The following is a 25,885-nucleotide window of genomic DNA, read 5'->3' as shown; positions in this document are numbered from 1 at the left end:
TCATTTCTTTCTACTTCTTGAATAAAGTGTATTATGAGCGATTGAAGAAACCTATCTATTTTCTTTAATTTTTCCTACCTAATGTCTAGAACATTTCTGATGAAGAGTAGAGTTCAATAAATAAATGCTAATGAATGATTTTAAAAATAAGACCATGTTTGTAGAAAAACTTGCTCTCTGAAGAGTTTAGTAATATTTATTCATGGTAGGATACAATTTTCTTAAATTGTCTATTTCAAATACAGGCGTATCATTGATGCTAAAGATTTTTAAAACAGGAAAAAAGATATGGTACAAAGAGAAATTTATTGCTTTAGATTTGTGGCTGAAAAATAGTCCAACTTTCCTTCCCACTATGACCTCAAAATCTTGCATATTGTGAAAACCACTTTAGCCTTTTCATTTTACCCACTCGTTGAATCAAGTCATTTCCATCAACCATGCCAGTTCAAGTCTCCTACACTTCATCCTCAGGTAAATCAAGAAACACCTTCCAGGAATGTCAAATGCTTAAAAAAAATAATCAGCCCACAGCTGACAGTACCTCCCAATTAATGGAAAATTTTAATAGATACAAGTATTGCTTTCAAACCTCTAATACATGCACGATGTGCTTCCAGGTATTTTTAGGCATTTTAAAAAAGCTATTTTTCACAATGACCCAGCTTTTTATAAAGGGTTTTTTCTTATTTATTTTAGTTGAAGAGATTGAGGCTCTGAGAGTTTGATTTTATGAAACTCACACAGAGAGGAAATCAAAAGCTGGGATTCAAACCTAATCTCTGATACTCCAGGATAGTATTATCTTGAGTACATTTTAGTTTTTAAATTCAGAACTACATATGTTTTCACAAACCTGTCCTAGTATAGGAAATCCTATTATCAGATCAGGGCAAGAACTGCTTCTGTGTTCAAGGTGCGTAACTATATCCATCTGCCTTTTCCAAAGTCTTACAAATACAGATATGGGTTTGGGGTTGTAGTACAACAAAGCAGTAGTTGACATGCTTTATTAATTGAAAGAAACAGAAGCTCCTATTCTCTCAGGGTGAGGATAGGCAGCTCAATATAAAGACTTCATTTCCACTAACAAGATGAGGAGCAATTAGTTGGCTTTAATAAGCATCTTATTCTTTCAGGATATTGTACATAGATGTCTCATTCAAGAGTCTCAAAGATAATCTGTATTTTTGGGGTTTTGGGCAGTCTTAATAAAATAAAATGAAAAATAAAATACAGATACATGAATGCCTATGGGGGAGGTGATGATTTATGGTGAACATAATGATTTGCACATGTTCCTGAAATGAAGAACATGGCAAACAACAGCAAACCCAATATTATCTTAAAGAAACGTAAACATTCTGAGGTAAAATATCATAACAGCAGACAGACTTGAATTAAAAGTTGTAGGAACCTTGTGAGCTACAGGACACTTAAGTGCTGCAAAGAAGTTGTTATCACCGCTAACTTACATGCTTCAGCTCTCTGTTTTGTTTCTATACGTGTTTTGAACAAAACTAACCCACGTAGTTTGCTAAATCGTGGGCAGACAAATAGGCAGTAGAGCACTTTTTCTCTCTCAATGAAGAGAGGAGAGAGAACTGTCACTCTCAGATCCACTTAAAAGAAAAATGTTTAATAGCTTCCTTAATATTCTAAGCAGAAGTAATCAGTATACCAAGGATAAAAACTTAATGTGACTGGTGCAATTGGTTCATATGCCAATCTCTGTGCCACAACCCCTATCACTGTGACTGTGATATATTAAAATGGCCATTCTCTTTCCAGAAAGTTTGGAGAAATGGTATCAGACAGGAACAAACAACATAAAAATTATTTTTTAAGAAACCTAACAACCCAGTATTTATCTACTAGAACAGCCAATAATGGCAGAATCACTTCAGTGAGAAACAATAATAACAAAAATATTATTTACAAAAAATGATCACTAAATGATAATCTAAGAAATCAGTTTATGTAACAGCCTGGAGAGAGTTCACTGGTAGCACTTTAAAAAGCATACATTATTCTGCATCAGTGATTAAGTACCTTTGTACCTAGCAGTAATTGTGACTCATGGAGAAATCAAGCCATCAAAGACAGACAGGTACCCAGAAATATGCCATTTGAACTAATGGCACTTATTCTGGAGTCATGAAAATTTTACATTTCAATCTTTATGGTAAGGCATTAAAATCACCCAGGGAGCTCTCAAAAGTTGTGATATTCAGGTTAACATCATAGTCAATTAAATCAGAATACCTAATTCAATTTTACCCATTCACATGTTGATGAATATTAGAGTCTTTTTCAAATGTTGGCTAATATGATAAAGTTCCTATAGACATTCTTAGAATGTGTTTGCTTGAAACAGGAACTAACTTTTTTAGAAATGATATTTTAAGTCATAGGGTAGGTATTTATGTACCTATAGAAGATAATGCTAAACTTTGTCACCAAAGAACTTGCACTGATTTACACATCTAATAGCAAAGTGTAAGCATTCTAGTTCTCCACATATTCACCACAATTTGGGATTGTTATTCTTTTTGATGTTAGCCATTCTAATGGGTATGATATAATACCTCATTGTGATATTAATTTGCATTTTTCCAAATGCAAATTGAACAGTGCAAGTCAAGTGCATTGCCTATTTTTTACTGAATTTTACTTATTCATTTGCAGTTCTTTACATATCATTTGTCAGATATATATAATAATAATATTTTTTTTTGATGAGAACATTAGAAATTTACTCTTAGAAATATTGAAATACAGAGGACTCAAATATTAGCTATATTCAGCATGCTGTGCTATTGTTATAAAATAATCGAATTTATTCTTTCTAACTTTTTACCTTTTGACTATCATCTCCAGACTCCCCCCATCCCCATCATCTAGTATTCATCATGCTACTTTGTTTCTATGAGTTCAATTGTTTTAGATTCCACATCTAAGTGAGAACATGCAGTGTTTGTCTTTCTGTGCCTGGCTTATTTTATTTAACATAATGTTCTCCAGTTCCATCCATGTTGTAGCAAATGACAGAATTTCATCCTTTTTTTAAGGCTGAGTACTATTCCATATGATGATATTATTTATTCCCAGAGGTCTTTCCATGGAAATGCTTTCTATTAATTAATTCTGTCTATGAAATTTGTTTTTCCTGGTTGTATCCATGGTTATCCCAAATCATGAAAATATTACCATAGTTTTTCTACAAGATTTTTTGTTTTACCTTGAATACTTAGGCCTATTGTCCAACTCAAATTAATGTTTTGATAAAACTCAAGATTTCTTTCTTTCTACTTGCATTTAAATTGCTCTATCTATTGTAAATACCATCTATTCCTTATAGAATTGTGTCACTGTCATAAATCAAGTGAACCTGAATATCACAACTTTTGAGAGCTCCCTGGGTGATTCTAATGCCTTACCATAAAGATTGAAATGTAAAATTTTCATGACTCCGGAATAAGTGCCATTAGTTCAAATGGCATATTCTGGGTACCTGAAATGGGTATGTATACCCTGAAATGGGTATACATACATTAGTTCAAATGGTATACATTAAAATAAGTTTAGTGTTTTATCTCTTTATTCTTTCAGTTTTGTTAAATTATGGATTTTTTAAAACTTGTTAAGGAATGAAATTTCTGCTTTGATGACATTATTTTATATCATATTTCTATTTTATTCATTTCTGATTTTACCAGTTTATTTTCTTCATTTTTTTGGAGATTTTGTTGTTATTCCTTCACTATCTTCTTGAAATAGAAGTTACATTTTTTGATTTTTCAACTCTTATTTCCTAATAAATAAATTTAACCTATAATTTTCTGTATAGGAACTGCTTTAGCTGTATCTCATCTGTATGATTTGCCCCCCTTCACTATTATTTCAGTATATGGGGCCAAGAGAAACCTCAACTGATTTGCAACATTTTGTTTTTTACAAGAACAATACTTCACGTCTCTAGAATGAGATATTAATAATTAATATACATGCCTCATTTTATTATTATAATTATAGCTGTATATTAATATTCTTTGTACATAAATAACACTTTTAAAACATATTATGTAAATTAAGTTGAAAATTAATACTAGATTACAATGTAAAAATCCTTGAGAATAGTTTTTACAATTGCTAAAACCCATATTTTTATTTCATAGCAAACGTAGCACAATGGGAAAAATAATAATAAAGATAAAAAAGATGCCAGTTTAAAAAATACAATCATTTATTCATTCAACAAGTATTTAATAAGCTACTATATGCCATCCACCATGATAGTAATGCACTGCCTGTCTTACTGTAGCTTACTTTAAATTGTCATGAAACAAATTGATTTGGTCCACAAAGTTGAACATTGAGCCAATGAACACATGAACATTGAGCCAATGAGCACATGTCCTTGTCAAAGCAATTTTCACACACACAAACATACACAAACTTTCTGCTATCTCTTTAATAAGAAGTACCTGGAGAAAGCTAAGAGAAAAAGCAACAGTGGAAGGAGAGAATTCTTGACAACATAACCAAGTGGGGCTTATTTTCATTGGGGATGCAAACAGTAGGCAATTGGCAACTAAGAAGTAATCATCACATAGTTTAAAAGAATTTATGGGAAGGTTATGGTAATACATTCTTATATTTCCACTCTTTAGTCAAGTAAATATTGAAATCCTTCCAATGACTATTTACTAATAGAGGTGAGTATATAGTTTTTTTCTCCTCAAGAGCCTTTTCCTTAGGATCTCTATACTAGCATGATTTTCACTGTTGCAAAGATTTGCAACTGTAGGACCAAATGTTTCATCTTATCCACTAGAATCAACTAGTAGTCAGTTTAGAATGCTAAAAATAATACACAATTCCAGCTGTACATTCAGTTCATAACTCCTTAAATATTGCTTGGCAAACCTGATAGCGTGCTATATACTTAATTATCAGTAATATAACAGACCTGAGTTGCTATCTTACCTCTACCCTACAACACTTCTGTGATCTTAAACAGAAGACTTCATCTTGAGAAAAATTTTCTTCATCAGTAAAATGAAGATAATGATATAACTTGATAATATTATTTAAAAAATTTCAAGATTCCAAATCATCATCTGGTAATGGAACTCAGTAAGTAAAACAATTTAATTTTCTAAGAAATATTGGTCATTATTGTGTGTAAGACAAAGAAGCTCAGATTTTTGGCTTGTAGATTCTTAAACATAAAGTCTTATTACCGAAGTAGGTCCCTTAAACAGGGAAGATTTGGTAAGGGAGAAAAACTTGTATAAGTTGGACAAGTTGGTTTTAAGGATATTTAATTAGTGATGTCTAATGGGTCTGGGGAGATGGATCCAGGATTCAGGAATAAAATCTAGGATAACACATTATGTCCTAGGATGTTTGTCCTGCAACACTTCCTTGAATACAGAATCAACTCACAGCATCTCTGCTTAGACTTGGCCTTGTGCAGACGAGTAATACACAAGCCAACTATCCATCAGAAGTATCCTAGTTTTGCAGATAATTTACCATGTCTATCTAATACCAGGCAATTAAAGACCTCTCCAACAAAATTGTTCCTTATTACAGACCTAGATGTTTGTTTCCTTGGTATCAACCATCTCTGTAGATTTACTGCATCTGCAAATGTTTATTCTTATTGTCAGACAAAATCTAGCCTTGCTGCAATCCCCAGAGAACTCAGTAATCCCAGAGCCAGTGGTTAGGTAGAAAGAATAAGACAAGCCCTTATATATAAGAGGAGTCTTTTGTGGTGGACAAGTTCAACAATACCTTGGGTTTGTATATCAGAATTATTTAGCTTTTATCAAAAGTGCTTACAAACATATCCACTTACTGGTAAGTACCCAGGTATTCTCATTTATTTAGCTTTCATTTGACTATTATTACTGGCAATTAATCACATAGAACTGAAGGTCAGAACATAGATCTGAGAGCAAGAAATAGAAGATTCCAGTTAATTGACCAGCGTTTACTAATATTTTACAGGAAAAAATGAAATCAGATGCGTAACTAAATACAAAATTTAAATCTGGATTCTCTATAGAAATAACATGTCCAGAAATAATTTTTCCAATGTATTATACGACAGATTATAGTCCAAAGCAGCAACCAACCATCTCTCTTCATGATGATAGCCACATAAATGCTTTGTTCTCTCAAAAGAAAGCTGAAAGAAGCCACAAATTTTAACACTGCTTTTTTTCTACTAAATTTACAGATATTCCTATTTTACCAACACAAGCATCTGTATTTTTCATAGCAGAGCCCTATGAATGAATCATGTCCATTATCAACACATCATATGTTGAAATCACCACCTTCTTCTTGGTTGGGATGCCAGGGCTAGAATATGCACACATCTGGATCTCTATCCCCATCTGCAGCATGTATCTTATTGCTATTCTAGGAAATGGCACCATTCTTTTTATCATCAAGACAGAGCCCTCCTTGCATGAGCCCATGTACTATTTTCTTTCCATGTTGGCTATGTCAGACTTGGGTTTGTCTTTATCATCTCTGCCCACTGTGTTAAGCATCTTCCTGTTCAATGCTCCTGAAATTTCATCCAATGCCTGCTTTGCCCAGGAATTCTTCATTCATGGATTCTCAGTACTGGAGTCCTCAGTCCTCCTGATCATGTCATTTGATAGATTCCTAGCCATCCACAACCCTCTGAGATACACCTCAATCCTGACAACTGTCAGAGTTGCCCAAATAGGGATAGTATTCTCCTTTAAGAGCATGCTCCTGGTTCTTCCCTTCCCTTTCACTTTAAGAAACTTGAGATATTGCAAGAAAAACCAATTATCCCATTCCTACTGTCTCCACCAGGATGTCATGAAGTTGGCCTGTTCTGACAACAGAATTGATGTTATCTATGGCTTTTTTGGAGCACTCTGCCTTATGGTAGACTTTATTCTCATTGCTGTGTCTTACACCCTGATCCTCAAGACTGTACTGGGAATTGCATCCAAAAAGGAGCAGCTTAAGGCTCTCAATACTTGTGTTTCACACATCTGTGCAGTGATCATCTTCTACCTGCCCATCATCAACCTGGCCGTTGTCCACCGCTTTGCCCGGCATGTCTCTCCCCTCATTAATGTTCTCATGGCAAATGTTCTCCTACTTGTACCTCCACTGACGAACCCAATTGTTTATTGTGTAAAAACTAAACAGATTAGAGTGAGAGTTGTAGCAAAATTGTGTCAACGGAAGATTTAACAGTCATATGTGACAGAAAACCTGGAAATGTCTGGTAAGATATTTAAGGTAAATTTGAGAAACCTAATATTTGACACCAAGAATTATCAACACATATTTTTGTTGTTGTCATAGAGTTATTTTATTCACTCTGGATACTGCGAATGAGAATAGAACTATAAACAGGAAGTACGTTGCCTTATGTCCCCATTTCAGTTAAGCAGAATAAAAATAAATGTCTTATGATAGCATCTCCGATACAAGCAACAAATTACAACCAAGACAGAAAAATGATAATTTTTACAGCTCTGACAGAAGTTGGATTTCTCATTATCTACATTCAATCTCTTATACCAAGTTCTTTTAATGCTAGACCTAAATTAGCTGTCTCTTTATCCATTTTAATCATCTTAGAATACAACCATTTTTTTAATTTAATCATTTATATTCCATATTGGGATACATGTGCTGGATTTTTACATGGTTATATGGGACCCGGGTAGTGAGCATAGTACCCAATAGATAGTTTTTCAGTCCAATCCTGCCTCTTTCACTCTTGCCCCACCAGTAGTCTGCAGTCACCAGCATTTCTCTCATAAAATATTGCTAAGTTCCCTGCCTTATAATTGATTCACAATGAAATGCAAGAGTAATCTATAGGCAAATTGAATGTGTAAGTGTCTCTTTTAAATTTGAACTCTTCCTTTGTTAGAAATACAGTTAAATCAATAAGGAACATATTCTAAGACCCTACATGGCCTGGACCCTTTCTACTTACTCAACGTCGTCAGATACTCATTAATCTCCAGCCACATCAACCTACTGAACAGTTTTTGAATTTACAGAGCTCTTTGCTTTCTTGAGTTTTCACATCAGATCTCTTTTGTTAAAATGCTCTTGACTCCAATTTTGTATAATGCATTTCTATTTTTTTCTTTAAATTTTGGCTTAATTTCCTCATAGATTACCTAGCCCTAGTTTGTATTATGATCTTCTCTTTTATCTCTTCCATTGCGGGTTTATTCTTTCATCTTTTGTCTCTTTCATTGCTGGTTTATTCTTTATTCTTTATTATACTTAATATTTGCAATTACAGATATATTTTATCCTTATTTCATTTCTTTCTTCTTCTTGAATAAAGTGTACTATAAGTGATTGAAGAGACCTATCTATTTTCTTATTTTTTCCTGCCTAATGTCTAGGACACTTCTGATGCAGAGTAGATTTTAATAAATAATTGCTAATGAATGAATTTAAAAATAAGACCATGTTTGTTGAAAAAGATGTTCACTGAGGAGTTCAGTAATATTTCTTCAAGGTAGGATACAAGTTTTTTAAATTGTCTATTTCAAATATAGGCATATCATTGATGCTAATGATTTTTAAAACAGGAAAAAAAAAAGATATGATGTTAAAGACAAATTTATTGCCTTGGATTTGTGGCTGAAAAATTGTCCAACTTTCCTTCCTAATATGACCTCAAAATCTTGCATATTGCGAAAATCATTTTAGCCTTTTCATTTTACCTACCCATTGAATCAAGTCATTTTTATCAACCACGTCAGTTCAAGTCTCCTACACTTCTAACCTCAGGTGAATCAAGAAACACCTTCCAGGAATGTCAAATGCTTAAAAAATAATAATCAGCCCACAACTGACCGTACTTCACAATTAATGGAAAATCTTTATAGATACAAACATTGTTTGTAAACCTCTAATTTATGCAGGATATGCTTCCAGGTCTTTTTAGGCATTTTAAAAATTTGCTCTCAACAATGACCCAGCTTTTTATAAAAGGTTTTTTCCTATTTATTTTAGTTGAAGAGATTGAGGCTCTGAGAGTTTGATTTAATGAAATTCACACAGAGAGGAAGTCAAAAGCTGGGGTTCAAACCTAATCTCTGATGCTCCAGGATAGTATTATCTTGAATACATTTTAGTTTTTAAATTCAGGACTACGTATGTTTTCACAAACCTATCCTAGTGTAGAAAATCCTATCATCAGATCAGGGCAAGAACTGTTCCTATGTTTGAGGTGCATAACTGTATCTATCTACCTTTTCCAAAACCTTACAAATACAGATATGGGTTTGGGGTTGTAGTACAACCAAGCAGTAGTTGACATATTTTATTAATTGAAAGAAATAGAAGCTCATATTCTCCCAGTGTGCGGATAGGCAGCCCAATATGAAGACTTCATTTCCACTAAAAAGATGAGGAGTAATTAGGTGGCTTTAATAGCATCTTATTCTTTCAGGATATTGTACATAGATGTCACATAAAAGAGTATCAAAGATCATCTGTATTTTAGGGGTTTTTGACAGTCTTAATAAAATGAAATGAAAAATAAAATAAAGATACATAAATCTCAATGGGGGAGGTGAAGATTTATGGTCAGCATAATGATTTTCACATATTTCTGAAATGAAGAATGTAGTTTTTGGAGGATTAAAATCTCAACTCTGGGGCTCCTTAAACAGTGGTTCTCAACTGGCAGCAATGTTACCTCCAAGAGACATTTGGCAATGTCTGGGGACATCTTCGGTTGTTGCAACCTGGGGGTGTGGGTGTGTCACTGACTTCCACTGATTAGAGGCCGGAGACGCTACTAACCATTCTTTAATGTACAGGATAGCCCTTACCCAAAAGAATTATCTAGCACAAAATGTCAGTGGTGCCAAGCATTAAAAAAACCTTAGTCTAAATGTAACTATCAAATAACAAATGATTAAGCCCCATGGTTAAACAAATTACCTTGAGCTCACCTACACAGCACCTAGGGGCAATCTGATACCAGAGAAGTTCCTCAGAAAGGAAACCAGTGAAAAACTGAGAAAACTGAAAGACTTCACTTGAGAGATGTTAAAAGACTTATTAATCACACATGAAAGTGTACAAAGATGAATGCAAAGGATGTAAACCTTACCAAAAGGCAAGTTCAAATACTTTTTAAAAAGATTCTAGTAAGTCTTCTTATTGTTTCGCTGTGTTTCATTTTGTTTTTCTATTGGACATTGGTCATTTGTGAGAGGTTTGTGGGAAAACATTGTAAGGGATGGAACACTACAAAATTATAAGGGACGAAGGGGAGCATCATTTAGTCCAAGCAGAGAATATGTGAATTAGGTGGAGAGAATATGCCTGTATGATATAGGAGTTACATGAGAACAATACTGTAATTTTTAAAGTAGACAACTACTTGTCTGTACAACCTAAGCATCTTAGTTTTACTAGGGCCAATGAATTTTCAATGCCATGAAAAAATATTCTTTAATATATTGAATTGTGTACAATCAACCCAATCCATTTAATTGAATGTGTTATTCTTGCTTGAGAATTTGAGTCCCCATACATGTCACATTAAAAAGGTATAATATATTTGTGTGGGTCTATGTGTGTGTACCCATGGGTTTGCCCATATCTGAATGTTTTTCATGTAGATAAGCCAGAAAAATTTCTCCTTTTGTTATTTGTGAGATCATTAACATTCTTAAAATAATCAGAACTTAAAAACACACTTAAACACAAAAGCAAGATGAAAATATCTTATTGCAACCAAAGCAAAAATAGTTCAATAAAATATAATAGCCAATCATTATTTTAAAAGATTTTTAGAAACCAAGGAATAGAAGATAACTACTCTAATTTTAGAAAGTAAAACTTAAACCCCTTTCTCAATAAAAAGCAGTAAGCCTAAAGGTCAATGATAAAATATTAAAACATTCTCTCAAAATTCAAGACAAACAAGGATACCCTACATTACCACTCTCCTGTAATTTTGATTCAGGTCTAGCTGGCCCAATAAGATAGGAGAGAAAGTAACAAGAATAGAAGATAAAGAGACATCCAAGAACTCCTGAAGAGAATCCAGGATATAAATAAATAAATAATAAACAAACAAACAAATGTAGTATAATTGAAAAAGAAAATTAAAACTTTTTTTAATGTAAGACTCACTACTTTGTCATTTTAACACAACAGAAGCAGTCCTTAGTCAACTTAATTTAGGAAAGACAATTTTTATCAGGCATGTTCTTCTTGGCAGCAGTCTGAGTAGGGTTTTACTTCCTTTTTTTTTTTTTTTTTTTTTGAGATGGACTCTCATTCTGCTGCCCAGGCTGGAGCAGAGCACAGTGGCACGATCTTGACTCACTGCAACCTCTGCCTCCCGGGTTCAAGTGATTCTCCTGCCTCAGTCTCCTGAGTAGCTGGGACTACAGGCATGCGCCACCACGCCTGGCTAATTTTTTGTATTTTTAGTAGAGATGGGGTTTCACCATGTTAGCCAGGATGGTCTCGATCTCCTGACCTCATGATCCACCTGCCTCGGCCTCCCAAAGTGCTGGGATTACAAGCGTGAGCCACGGCACCTAGCAGGTTTTACTTTAAAAAAAAGAACCTGCAGCAAACAGTTTGCTTATTTCTATTTTTTCCTTTTTATAAAAATGAATAACCTCCCAAACAGATTAAACATTATTGACAGATTTGCTTCCATCTAATAGAAAATGTAGCATGATAGTCAAGCAGCATGCCTCAAGCATGATGGTCTTGGATGACCAGCATAAGAATCACCTTGGAACTTATTGAAAATATAGTGATTTACATCCCATTCAAAATCTACTGAATCAAAATATTCATTTTAACAAACTCTTCAGATAATTTATTTGCACATTAAAGTTTAAGAAACACAGTACTAAAGCAATTCATTATCACCAACTGTATAAGAACCCGTATGTGTTTGTGTATTTACAGAGGTAGGAAGACTTACAAAGATTTCTGGTGAAAAGTGAAAATCCATAATGAATTTGTCTCTTTCTAATTTCCACATATCTAATTAGATTATAAGTGCATTCTAGTAGGTAAATTGGATATGATTTACACTGAAAAGACAGGCTGGCTATATGTGGTTGCTGGCCCATGGTTTGTTCATTCTTGTTACAAAGAGAATCTTCTGCCTACAAAGTAAAGGTAGTGTAAATGTACATAAAATATCATGACTGATTCTATTGATTGGATAAGCAGGATTGACTAAGGGACTAAAGAGGCAAGTGATAGAGTGAAAGAATAAATATGCTATGCTTAGCTAGCAAATGGCTTATCCTATGTATATTAAAAAATCATTCTTTATTTAAATAAATGTGGAAAAGGTATATAATCCAACAGAAAGAGAACAAAAGCTTTGAACAGATACTTCAAAAGAGGAGATTTAAATGGTCAATAAGCCTATAGACAGGGGAGTATAATTTCCAATTGGAGGGAAATTAGTATGCACTATTAATGATCTGATCTCTTTTGGAACTTGGGACGCTAAAACAACTAGCTGATCTGCCTCTGGATATACTGGCTAATTATAGCTAGGGGAAAATGAACCAAGGTCAAGAGCTAATGAACAGGGGCTGGGTTTGAATATGACCCCCAACTTCTGATCACATGCAGTTTTCTCTGCCAAAGTCTGCATTATGAGTTTGGCCCTAGATTTGTGTCCCTTGAGTCAACGTTTAGAAGCTTTTCCATCAAGTATTGTGTTATTCTTTCAAACAGCCCCTGCTGTTAGGCATCCCAAGGGGCTCTTAGAGCTTCATAAAACAGTGCCTACAAGCATAAAAGAGGAGCTTAAAGGATTCTTTCCTACTTCTGATCACTTTATTATCACTGATTTTATAGCAAAGTATCACACTGATTTAAAATGGTAAGACAAAATCCTACTTTTTCAAAATGTCTGACAAAATTTGCATTACATCTTCTGTTTGGATTCTGAAAGGATGGACTAAATGTTAAATTAACAAGAAAAATAAGATGTCGTGGAGATTAAGCGTATTGTAGAATTTTCAAGGAGAGACAGAGTGTACACTTTGGTGGGCAGTATGTGTCTGGGGAAGTATTAGGAATGTCCATCCAGGCATGCCCAGTCTGTATGATACGTGTGAGAAGGATGTATATCTGTATTATCACATGATTCTACCTTAAGTCACTGCACCTCTCTAAGATTTTGTGTTGTTTTATGTATAAAATGGATAAAATAATCACCTAAGTGAGAAAACCTATATAGATCATTAATCAAAATAGCATATTATTATCTACAAGTTAAATATAATAATATATAATATAATAATTACATTTGGGGGTGTTTGTCCTATATATTTTAATTAAATCTCAATAGTGACTACCTCTAAAGAATAATGCAATCTTTAAGACAATGGTGAGACAAATGCCAGAACACAAATGGCCACAGTCTATTGACATAAGACTATTTTAGCTGTAGCTAGTACAGTAAAGAAAGCAAGGTATACGGCTTAAGAAGTTTCAGAGGATGTGTAAATTCATAAGTGATATATCTTATGTCATTATCTGTGGCTTGGCCTTTCTCTTAAGTTCCAAATATTTATTCTTAATAGGCTATAGATATCCAAGGAAGCAAGGTCCTGGGATAGAAATTTGGGCACATTGAGAGGTTGTGAAGAAGGAAAAAGTCTCTCAACAAAGCAGCCAATAGACCCCATAAGCACTAAGAAATTATACTTTCCTTGGAGCCAAGGTTTTCCCATACTGTCCATATTCTTAGAAAAGTCTGAATCCAACATTGACAGGTAATTAAAAATGAGGAAAATTGCATGAATGTTTAAATAGAGAGTTAATAATTCCTAAATGATTACAATAATGGAAAATACAACCTATACAGATAACAACTTTGGAAAAGATAGCCACTCTTTTAGGAAAACAGCCGAGGAACTGTGTTCTGAGATATTAAGAAGGGCTAATACATTTTGCCGTCTGAGGAGCACTGAATGAGGACTCTAAAATAAGACAAACCAAGAGGTAAAAATCAGACACATTTTATTTGATGAAATAAGTGAAGTGTAGCCTGAAGAATGGGGGAAATTATTACCATCTTTAACTTTGGTAAATGATATTCCATTAAATAATTTTGGAGCTACAACTAATTTCCATTTACTATGCTAGGTGTTAAAAATGCAACAGTGAACAGTGTAAACATGATTCTCTCCCCTTATATAATAGTTAAGGGAGAAGATAGACATCAAATAATAAATCAGGAAAATAATAAGGAAGCTATTTTGTGTGAATGGGACTAGATTACGTGCCTGAAGAGAAAATAAGATTAACAAATTTAAGAAACATATATCAACTCAATTCAAGGAAGAAAACTAATCTGAGTATTCCACCATGAAGTAGATGGCTTTAGGTATTAGTTAATATGCTAATACTGGGGAGAAATTAGGATGTATTTGTTGATGACTACTCATTCAGCGTGATTTAGACTACCTTCTATACAGGAAGGAGGGTAAGACTACATATTTTCTAAAGGTTTTTTTATTTTTAAACCCTAAGATCATGTAATTATGAACTTCCAGTTCTGCCATTACTTCAAATGTTCATCCTATACATATATGCTGGTATGAATATAGGTTTGGGATAATTCATGAATTTCCCTCCTAATCCAGAGTAAACTGTGCTGTTCCCTTCAAAATTTTGCTTTCCTTGCTCAAGAAGTTTTTATAAAATTGAAATAAGATAACTGGTTTTATGAGATTAAGACATGAGTATTTTCATGTAGTCAAAGGATTGTCTTGAATTGTTAAGTGCGCAAAGCCTAAGTTGTTTGATAATTTAACAAGTTCCAACAAACTCCTGGGTGAGGAAGCAACTCATATTCTTCCCATTTGCTTTTATGTTTGGCTTTCTTTTTGTTTTCTTTTTTTTTTTTTCAGTCTGAACTGACAGTAGAAACGTAGATGTTTGACATTAAGAAGTATCTACTCTTAGTATCTATAATGTAACAGAAAGCAATATCTTCTACCATAAGTTCACTTAAGAAATTTCCAACTGCACTGAGGTAAGCACCTAGTAAAGCATCTTCCTATGTGTCATGTCTCCTCTTAATGACACAAAAATGGAAGTCCTTAGATTCCTCCTTATCGGGATCACTGGACTGGAGAAAAGTCGCACCTGGATATCCATTCCTTTCTTATCTGTGTACCTTCTTTCTTGGATGGGTAATTTTACCGTCCTCTTTTTTATCAAGACAGAGCAAAGCCTCCATGAACCTATGTATTATTTGCTTTCCATGCTCTCCATCTCTGACCTAGGGCTGTCTCTGTCTTCCTTACCCATCACTTTGGGACTATTCCTATTTGATGTCCATGAAATTCATGCAGCTCCATGCTTTGCCTAGGAATTTTTTATCCATCTGTTTACAGTCAGTGAAGCCTCTGTACTGTCTGTAATGGCATTTGACTGGTATGTGGCAATCCACAGTCCTTTGAGATACAGCACTATCTTAACTAGTCCCAGAGCCATCAAAACAGGGGTTCTTCTGACTTCCAAGAATGTTCTTTTGATCCTTCCACTGCCCTTTCTCTTGCAAAGGCTGAGATATTGTCATCAAAACCTGCTCTCCCACTCCTATTGTCTCCACCAGGATGTCATGAAGCTGATGTGTTCTGACAACACAGTCAATGTTGTCTACGGACTCTGTGCAGGACTTTCTACTATGCTGGACTTGGTGTTTATTACCTTCTCCTAAATTATGATTTTAAGGGCTGTACTGGGAATTGCTACCCCCAGACAGCAGTTCAAGGCCCTCAACACGTGCATCTCTCACATCTGTGCTGTGCTTATCTTCTATGTGCCCACGCTGAGTGCTGCCATGCTCCACCAGTTTGCCAGGGATGTGTCTCCTATGATCCACGTCCTCATGGCTGATATTTTTCTGCTGGTGCCACCCCTGTTGAATCCCATCGTGTACTGTGTGAAGACCCACCAAATCCGAGAAAAGGTTGTGGGGAAACTTTGTCCAAAAGTAAGTTGATCAAAGGAATGAGAAAGGGAATGAATGTATAAGTGGCAACTAAATAGACGTTGAATGTTTCACTGGGAGAAAGTATACTTTACTAGAGTGGTCTTGTATTTTATAGTCAGATGGAGTTCACAGAATGAATGACTTTTGATATTCAGTACCCTAAGTGCCCTTATGCCCCTGTGAGTTTGTGAAAAGTACTTCAGCTCTCTGATTCTAAGATTGTACATCCAATAATCTAAGCCTTCAAGGAAGACTGGAAGCATCTGCTTCCTGCTTTTTAAAATATATGCCAATACAATAATAAGAGAAAATACCTTTAAAAAAGTATTCTCCTGCTTTTCTTTATATCCGTAGCAAAAAAATGCCTAGTAAGAGAAGAGTTAAATTATTTCTTCAAGTTTTGTTGATGACGCAATGTTTGATCTAATTCGAGGTCACCTTGCACAGACTTAAAAATTTTAAAATATGTATATTAACTGCATATTTGGATGGATGTAAATTCAAACTGCAAAAGCTATATTATTCTGGAGTCATACTAGTCAATTACATTATTACAAAGGGTATATTTTTAAAGAACCCCAAATGACCATATCTCCATTGTTTATTTTAGTGGCCCATATTACAAAAAAATACATTTATCTTCTCATGGGTACATTCTTAGCTCTGGCTATTGCTTTTTAAACCTTTTCTGCATTTATATTTTACGCCCAGCTCTTAGAATCAGCTAATTATACCCACTCTCTAGAGATTATCTTTTCTATAATTTAAAAATAATCAGTGAAGATCTAACTATTTTCCTCAATCTTTTATCTAAGTAAGACTGCATTTTCACTATGAAGCCTTCCCTGACCATTTCCAGCCTAAATAGACTTTTAAACTTCTCTTAAATATCAATCTTTCAAGAATTAAATAGACACAATAAAAAATGATAAAGGGGATATCACCACCAATCCTACAGAAATACAAACTACCATCAGAGAATACTACAAACACCTCTACGCAAATAAACTAGAAAATCTAGAAGAAATGGATAAATTCCTCGACACATACACTCTCCCAAGACTAAACCAGGAAGAAGTTGAATCTCTGAATAGATCAATAACAGGAGCTGAAATTGTGGCAATAATCAATAGTTTACCAACCAAAAAGAGTCCAGGACCAGATGGATTCACAGCCGAATTCTACCAGAGGTACAAGGAGGAACTGGTACCATTCCTTCTGAAACTATTCCAATCAATAGAAAAAGAAGGAATCCTCCCTAACTCATTTTATGAGGCCAGCATCATTCTGATACCAAAGCCAGGCAGAGACACAACCAAAAAAGAGAATTTTAGACCAATATCCTTGATGAACATTGATGCAAAAATCCTCAATAAAATACTGGCAAACCGAATCCAGCAGCACATCAAAAAGCTTATCCACCATGATCAAGTGGGCTTCATCCCTGGGATGCAAGGCTGGTTCAATATACGCAAATCAATAAATGTAATCCAGCATATAAACAGAGCCAAAGACAAAAATCACATGATTATCTCAATAGATGCAGAAAAAGCCTTTGACAAAATTCAACAACTCTTCATGCTAAAAACTCTCAATAAATTAGGTATTGATGGGACGTATTTCAAAATGATAAGAGCTATCTATGACAAACCCACAGCCAATATCATACTGAATGGGCAAAAACTGGAAGCATTCCCTTTGAAAACTGGCACAAGACAGGGATGCCCTCTCTCACCACTCCTATTCAACATAGTGTTGGAAGTTCTGGCAAGGGCAATTAGGCAGGAGAAGGAAATAAAGGGTATTCAATTAGGAAAAGAGGAAGTCAAATTGTCCCTGTTTGCAGATGACATGATTGTATATCTAGAAAACCCCATTGTCTCAGCCCAAAATCTCCTTAAGCTGATAAGCAACTTCAGCAAAGTCTCAGGATACAAAATCAATGTGCAAAAATCACAAGCATTCTTATACATCAACAACAGACAAACAGAGAGCCAAATCATGAGTGAACTCCCATTCGCAATTGCTTCAAAGAGAATAAAATACCTAGGAATCCAACTTACAAGGGATGTGAAGGACCTCTTCAAGGAGAACTACAAACCACTGCTCAATGAAATAAAAGAGGATACAAACAAATGGAAGAACATTCCATGCTCATGGGTAGGAAGAATCAATATCGTGAAAACGGCCATACTGCCCAAGGTAGTTTACAGATTCAATGCCATCCCCATCAAGCTACCAATGACTTTTTTCACAGAATTGGAAAAAAATACTTTAAAGTTCATATGGAACCAAAAAAGAGCCCACATTGCCAAGTCAATCCTAAGCCAAAAGAACAAAGCTGGAGGCATCACACTACCTGACTTCAAACTATACTACAAGGCTACAGTAACCAAAACAGCATGGTACTGGTAACAAAACAGAGATATAGATCAATGGAACAGAACGGAGCCCTCAGAAATAACGCCGCATACCTACAACTATCTGATCTTTGACAAACCTGAGAAAAACAAGCAATGGGGAAAGGATTCCCTATTTAATAAATGGTGCTGGGAAAACTGGCTAGCCATATGTAGAAAGCTCAAACTGGATCCCTTCCATACACCTTATACAAAAATCAATTCAAGATGGATTAAAGATTTAAACGTTAGACCTAAAACCATAAAAACCCTAGAAGAAAACCTAGGCATTACCATTCAGGACATAGGCATGGGCAAGGACTTCATGTCCAAAACACCAAAAGCAATGGCAACAAAAGACAAAATTGACAAATGGGATCTAATTAAAATAAAGAGCTTCTGCACAGCAAAAGAAACTACCATCAGAGTGAACAGGCAACCTACAACATGGGAGAAAATTTTTGCAACCTACTCATCTGACAAAGGGCTAATATCCAGAATCTACAATGAACTCAAACAAATTTACAAGAAAAAAACAAACAACCCCCATCAAAAAGTGGGCGAAGGACATGAACAGACACTTCTCAAAAGAAGACATTTATGCAGCCAAAAAACACATGAAAAAATGCTCATCATCACTGGCCATCAGAGAAATTCAAATCAAAACCACTATGAGATACCATCTCACACCAGTTAGAATGGCAATCATTAAAGAGTCAGGAAACAACAGGTGCTGGAGAGGATGTGGAGAAACAGGAACACTTTTACACTGTTGGTGGGACTGTAAACTAGTTCAACCATTGTGGAAGTCAGTGTGGCGATTCCTCAGGGATCTAGAACTAGAAATACCATTTGACCCAGCCATCCCATTACTGGGTATATAGCCAAAGGACTATAAATCATGCTGCTATAAAGACACATGCACACGTATGTTTATTGCGGCATTATTCACAATAGCAAAGACTTGGAACCAAGCCAAATGTCCAACAATGATAGACTGGATTAAGAAAATGTGGCACATATACACCATGGAATACTATGCAGCCATAAAAAATGATGAGTTCACGTCCTTTGTAGGGACATGGATGAAATTGGAAATCATCATTCTCAGTAAACTATCGCAAGAATAAAAAACCAAACACTGCATATTCTCACTTATAGGTGGGAATTGAACAATGAGATCACATGGACACAGGAAGGGGAATATCACACTCTGGGGACTGTGGTGGGGTGGGGGGAGGGGGGAGGAATAGCATTGGGAGATATACCTAATGCTAGATGACGAGTTAGTGGGTGCAGCGCACCAGCACGGCACATGTATACATATGTAACTAACCTGCACAATGTGCACATGTAACCTAAAACTTAAAGTATAATAAAAATAAAAATAAAAAAAACAAAACAAACAAAAAACAAAAACAAACAAAAAAAAAAACAAAAAAAATAACAGGGTAATGGTTAAAAAAAAAAATCAATCTTTCTGTCTTTCTTAATCATTTTACATACCGTGTAAATTGCCTTGTAATCCCAGAGTCATAGGTGTTGTTTTTGCATATATAACCTGTGTTTATAGGACCTTAAACAATTATTTGATGTTAGAATATGAATCCCAGGAGACTAGTGATTGTCCGCCTTTTTACTACTTCATACCGGTTGCGAGCACATCGAGTAGCCCATAGTATGAACACAGATAATTTTGAATAAATAAATGAGTGAACACTTAGCAAACATTGAGATAACATATATAGAGTCACAAAAACCACACACACAAATACACACACATTGTCACCTTTAATCCTCAGTTTATAATAATTACTCCAAATTTTATTATTCTCCCAATACTTTTAAATATTTTCCTACGATATTCCACAGAGGCATTTTCGGCTTTCTCTAACACTTCTAGAAAACCATACATACAATTTAACATCGTAGAGAAATAAGGTTTTCTCATAACTCATTCATGTCATTGTTTGTTTTATCTGTGTCCAACACATGCTTCAATGCCAATGTTTGTCTTAGATTGTAAACAAGGCAATGAACTTTTATTTTTATAATGCCATGAATAAATATACTTAACAAAGATCTTGAGAGGAACTAGTGAAAATGATGTGTATTTTGACAGAGAAGAGTAGTAAGTAATGCCAAAAGGTCAGAGAAATTGAGAAAGTGACTTTGGGGACTTCATTCGACTACAAAGAGAATTAGGTTTCTTGACCAGGAACCATGTTCAGAAATAGCTGGAGAGCGAACCACTCCAAAACTAAGTGATCCAAAACAACAACAATTATATATCTGATCATAGCTGTGTAATTTGTGCAGAGCTCAGCAGGGATGTCTTGTCTATTCTCCACATAGTACCAACTGGGCATCTTCACTGGGACAGGGGATACACTTTGAATATCGTTCATTCCCAAAGCTGGTAGCTGACGCTTGCTGAGTTTAGCTAAGCGCCTACATATGCCTCTCCATGTAGCTTAGGCTTCTATCAGCATGTTAGCTGGTTTCCAAGAAAAACTGTTTTCAAGAACAAGAGAGCATATACCAGGAAACAGGATAGAACCTTCTAGTCTTGTTAAGGACTATAGCTGCAACAAATAAAGAGTCGTTTCCACTGCATCCATTAGTTATACATGAATGGAACAAGCTCAGATTCAAAGGAAGAGAAATACGTTCCATCTCTTGATGGGGCAATTGATACATAATTTGGAGCTGCCGTTTATACAACACAGACCAGAATGATTATTTAGTTTAATCGTCAGTTTCACAAACTGCGAATTATGAATCAGTGTAGACCTCCACCTGTGTGTCTGTGCCTGCCTGTTGCTGAGCACTGATGGAGACCATCCAGAAGTTGTTCAAAATGGAACAACTCTATCGGGAGTTGTTTGTAGTAAGTGCTATTTCAGCTGATCATCAAATATGACTTAAAATATCGTTACTTTGCATTCTTGTTGAGCTGCTACGTTCATTTTTCTGAGGGATCAAGGAAGCAAGATGATAAGGAGTAGAAAAGAACCGAACGTGTGCTAGCTTCTTTAGTCTCCCTACTATACTCCCTATCCTCATGCTTCCTCCTTAAAAGGCAGTAAAATGAGAATTATTCCTATTATTTGCCACCAGACATAAAGCCTCCTATATGTATGCTACCAACCTATTGCATTCTCCTTTCTAAGAAAAATGCCATTTCTCTCTATCAAAACTTAATGCAAGTGACCCAAAACTAAATTTCATATCTTCCTGTTTTTTGAGACCTTGCTGCACCTTCAGTATTTTTGCTACTTTTTCAATTTCCTTGCTAATAGCTACTCTCCTTCAACCTATATTCTTATTTTAAAAGAATAGCATGTTAAGTGTTACATGCCCTTGCTACCTCAACTTGTCCAATTCTTATTAATTTATTTATTGTTTTAATATACTTTAATTAATGAATTCATAATATAAATCTCTCTATATATAAAACACATAGGTCATTTAACTTGAATGCATATTATATGTTTGCGTGTTTTGTCTTTTGTTTTTGGCTCTTTGTTCCTCTTCTTCTGCTTACTCTCCAGCCATGAGCAAATCTCTAGCCCTCCAGTCAACTATTATTCACAGGTTACAGTGTTTCTAAAAAAGAGGCACTACCTGCATATGAGGCAGGACAATACTAAGTGGGATGTTTACCAATTCAGAAACTAAATGCCAATGGATCACCCAGGTAATCTGTAAAGGGATTTTATATAGCTCCCCATGGATAACCCTTCCAGAACCCTGTCTCACTTTGCTCTTCATACTCATCCAGTCATAGAATATCATATTAGTTGATGGAATTCCTGATATCGAACATTTATCTTCCTCAAAAAATTCAAGCTTGCAATATTCTCTGTCTCTCTCTCTCTTCCTCTCTTGCAAATATACATTTATCTATCTTTCTACTATGAGTAGAAATTAATACAATAGTATTAATTTCAGCTTTAGCTTTATAAATTATCTTTAGTTGTATCTATACTTAGACTCTTAAAATACTTCAACTACTCTTTAATAATTAAAATGATTTAAAATTAACAATTAGACACATTTGAGAACAACGCTGCAAAAAGAAATAAAAGTATGTATGTAAATATTATTTATATAGTATTTACTAATTGAGAAATGGTTTTAGTATATTTGTTAACCAGTAAAAGAGTTTTAATCAAAAACTATTTTTGAGTATAAAAATCTCCTCTAAAAGTTAAGCAATCTAGATCCCTGTGCAAGTATAGTAAACAAGCCTTGAGTTACCAAATAATTTCAATTTGCTAAAAATATTAAATCTAAATTTTGGGGTAATCCAACTTTTCAATACTTTGATTAAAGACGTCTATTTTGTTTTGAGCAAAGACATAGTAAGGCAAAGTCTTTATATGTGTGCAGTAGAAGGGGCAGAATGAGGATTGGGTAGATGGAGCCATTAGACCATGATTCGGAGATGGTAAATTTTCTGCCAGCCCAAATGGGAGCTCATGAGCAAAGATGGCTCGAAAAAGGAGTTTCCCCCATTGGCAAGAAAGGGGTAAGCACTGACACTATTACTTTGTTCTTTTACTATTAGGTCATCCCAAGAAGAGTGTGGCTTCAGCCAGATATCCAAGGTATACCTTGAAGCATTCGTCAGCTACCCACACTCTTTATAGCTAGGCAACAAATGGTTTCTTCAAGTGGGATCTGAGAAGCACATCTTTACGTCTATTACACCAAATTAGACTGATTTACCAAGTAGTACTCCAGAGACTCAATTATCTTTAGAATCTGATTGAAGATGATCAACAACAACAAAAAACTGTACTTTAATAGTGATGTTTTTATTTTTAAAATTAATATAATCTTTGCCACAAAATGTCCTAATTTGGTTACTATAAATGTATATATAAATCAAAGAAATTGAAAGAATTATCTGTATATAGTCATAAATTATGTTCACACCAAGATTATTCCAAGTACATTTTTGAACAAAACGTTTCTCAATTTTACAAGAACATTGATTGTTTTTATCATATTGCTGTCCTCTAAAAACAAAATATGCATTCATACTATTGCTACATGAAAATCTGTATCTTTAATGCTGAACTTCTTAACTGAATTAAAAATAGCATTCACAATAAGGTTAAGTGTTTTACAGAATAAAACTTGACAGAGAAAATGCTCAAAAACTATACTTTGCATAATGAATTAGAATAACATAATTAAACTTATATAATTAACTGATTTTCTATCTAAAGCATCTAAATAATGAGTCAGAATTAACATAATCTAGCTTTTGCTACTGGAGCCAACCTCACAACAGCTATCCCTTCTATTTCACAATGACTAGAAAAACTGCAATAAAAAGGGAGTAAAATTAATTTGAATGAACAGTTATTCAACCTAATTGAAAAATTATGAATTTATAGCATAACATGTGAATCTACCTTCAGCAGCTGTGCATAAGCACTTTTATATACAGTGTTCTGAAGAAAATTCCAAACTTTTGACATTGATGCTAATTTTTTTCTTCTGATTGTCATGTGATTGATTATATCAATTTGGCCACCACAGTGATAGTACCTGCTGACAAACATTTTGTACAAGGTTTGAATTCATTATCTTTTTTTTCTGAGAAACAGAAATAGAGTAAGTTTGAAGCACAAACTTTCTTTTGCCAAGCTCTTTGCAGCTAATGGGTTTATTATAAAATAACGTTCTCAAACAGTGGAATAAGTCATACCATTCCCATAAATGATGTGTTGTGCACATGTACCCTAAAACTTAAAGTATAATAATAATAATTAAAAAAATAAACACAAAACACATTGGTTTTTCTCTGCTGCACATATTTTTGGGTTTACTTAATCAAATAATTTCTTTTTGACTCCAGACTACTTGTAGCTAGTAGTTTCATTCACTTAACGAGCTTCGGCAGAAGTAACCAAAGTGTTTAATTTTTTTAAAGAAAGTATCTAGAAGGGCCAGCATTGTCAAATACATTGCCCACCAACAATTGGACCTGGAAAAAGTTAGCTACATCTGCATCCTTGTGTTCCATTACATTTCATTGTATCAGTGAGGGCCCTGCCTGCTCTCTTTTTAGCTTTAATATTCCACTGCAAATGGTCAAGAAAAGAGAGATGGGATCTCACTGGTCATTTTTCAGATTTACTAATGTGTTAAAGCGAGAAGTGTGTGCACTGCACATGTATCCCACATGGCTAGATGAAGCTGCAGCAGAACCTTGAAGTACAAAGAGGAGATCTAGCAACCCATCCTAGCTCATTTTACTGCTATTATCTAAGACTTACGTGAAAAAAAATAAAAATTAAAAAATCTGAGACAGATCTAAAACTGGTTGGGAAACCAAGACAAGTATAAATTAATTCCAATCCTGGAAACTGAAGATTATGCTCAATCTACTAATTATTTAAATAATTGTGTTACTGAAAACCCATTACATTTCAGCTATTCTGTTCAGATGTTTATTCCAATTGTTTACATTGATTTTGGAAGAATACCTGATACAGACGTTGGTAGTTAAAATGGGTTGGTGAACCATTTGAAGATATGAAATTGACATTTAGAGTATAAATTTCTGAATTATGACTCAAACTACATGTGTATTGTGGAGAAAACACAAAGAATGGCCAATGGTAATGAAGAAACCTGTGGTTTTTAGATGGAAGGCTGAAGAGAGCTCTCCTTCTCTCTAAACTCAAACCAAATTATATTAGCAGTAAACTCTGAAACAGGAAGGATGTCTGATAGTGTACTAGGATCTGTGTAAAAAAAAGGAGGAAAAATTCCTTTTTTAAAGCATAAGAAAATAATCTCAGAAAGATTAAGTAATTTGTCCTAGGTCATATAGTCACATGGCTAGAAAGTGTTGGAATCTGAATTCTCTCTCTCTCTCCCCCCTCGACCCTCTCCCCACACGCCACAATACTGGTCTTCAGGCCTGGCTAGGTCTTTCTCAACCAATTTTCCAACTTGAAATGCACAACTAGAAACATCCTAACATCTTGAAAGTATCATTTAGTATCCCTTGCCCACAGATCAGGCATGATAGATGATAGATTCCCCTCTTAACACCTGATTTTTTAATCTCATTACTCAAGTATTGGGGTTTCCCAGCCTCTTGTGACCTCTGTCCTCAGAAAAAGCCATGAGAACTCGTCAGGGAATTCTCAGACTTGGGAAAGGCCCCTGAGGAGAAGCTTTTGGGCTCTTCAAAAAGACCTTGAGTCTAAACGGAATAGTCTTGTAGCTGAGCTACCATCAAACCTGAGCTCTGGATGGAAGTATGTCCTCCAAGCCCTTTTCTCTCCAACTGTCACGGCTCAGGCATGCATTGCAAGCAGAAGCACATAGAAAACAGTCAGAACACATAGATCCCTAGTCACAGGGAACCTGAGCCACACACTGAGCTCTCAGTCTTAGCTGT

At 34.9% G+C, this 25,885-nt stretch overlaps 2 protein-coding genes and 1 pseudogene across 3 annotated transcripts in view; 2 read left to right on the top strand and 1 right to left on the bottom strand.

Annotated features, from left to right (window-relative positions):
- Window positions 1-25,885, bottom strand: part of MMP26 (matrix metallopeptidase 26) — a 287,646-nt gene that overhangs the window by 39,014 nt on the left and 222,747 nt on the right. The gene's annotated exons all lie outside the window — the stretch shown is intronic.
- On the top strand, window positions 5,811-10,585 carry OR51A4 (olfactory receptor family 51 subfamily A member 4). Its single transcript, NM_001005329.2, has 2 exons — window positions 5,811-5,871; window positions 6,254-10,585. Exon 2 carries the CDS (start codon window positions 6,316-6,318, stop codon window positions 7,255-7,257), a length of 942 nt encoding a protein of 313 aa, NP_001005329.1. The 5' UTR covers window positions 5,811-5,871; window positions 6,254-6,315; the 3' UTR covers window positions 7,258-10,585.
- OR51A3P (olfactory receptor family 51 subfamily A member 3 pseudogene) lies at window positions 15,122-16,078 on the top strand (annotated as a pseudogene).

This window comes from Homo sapiens, chromosome 11 (genome assembly GCF_000001405.40).
Source record: "Homo sapiens chromosome 11, GRCh38.p14 Primary Assembly".
Lineage (NCBI taxonomy): Eukaryota > Metazoa > Chordata > Mammalia > Primates > Hominidae > Homo > Homo sapiens.
This window is presented reverse-complemented; position numbering and strand designations above follow the sequence as displayed.

Coding starts and splice junctions, on each gene's coding strand:
- OR51A4 (NM_001005329.2), top strand. CDS start 6,316: ATGTCCATTATCAACACATCATATGTTGAAATCACCACCTTCTTCTTG.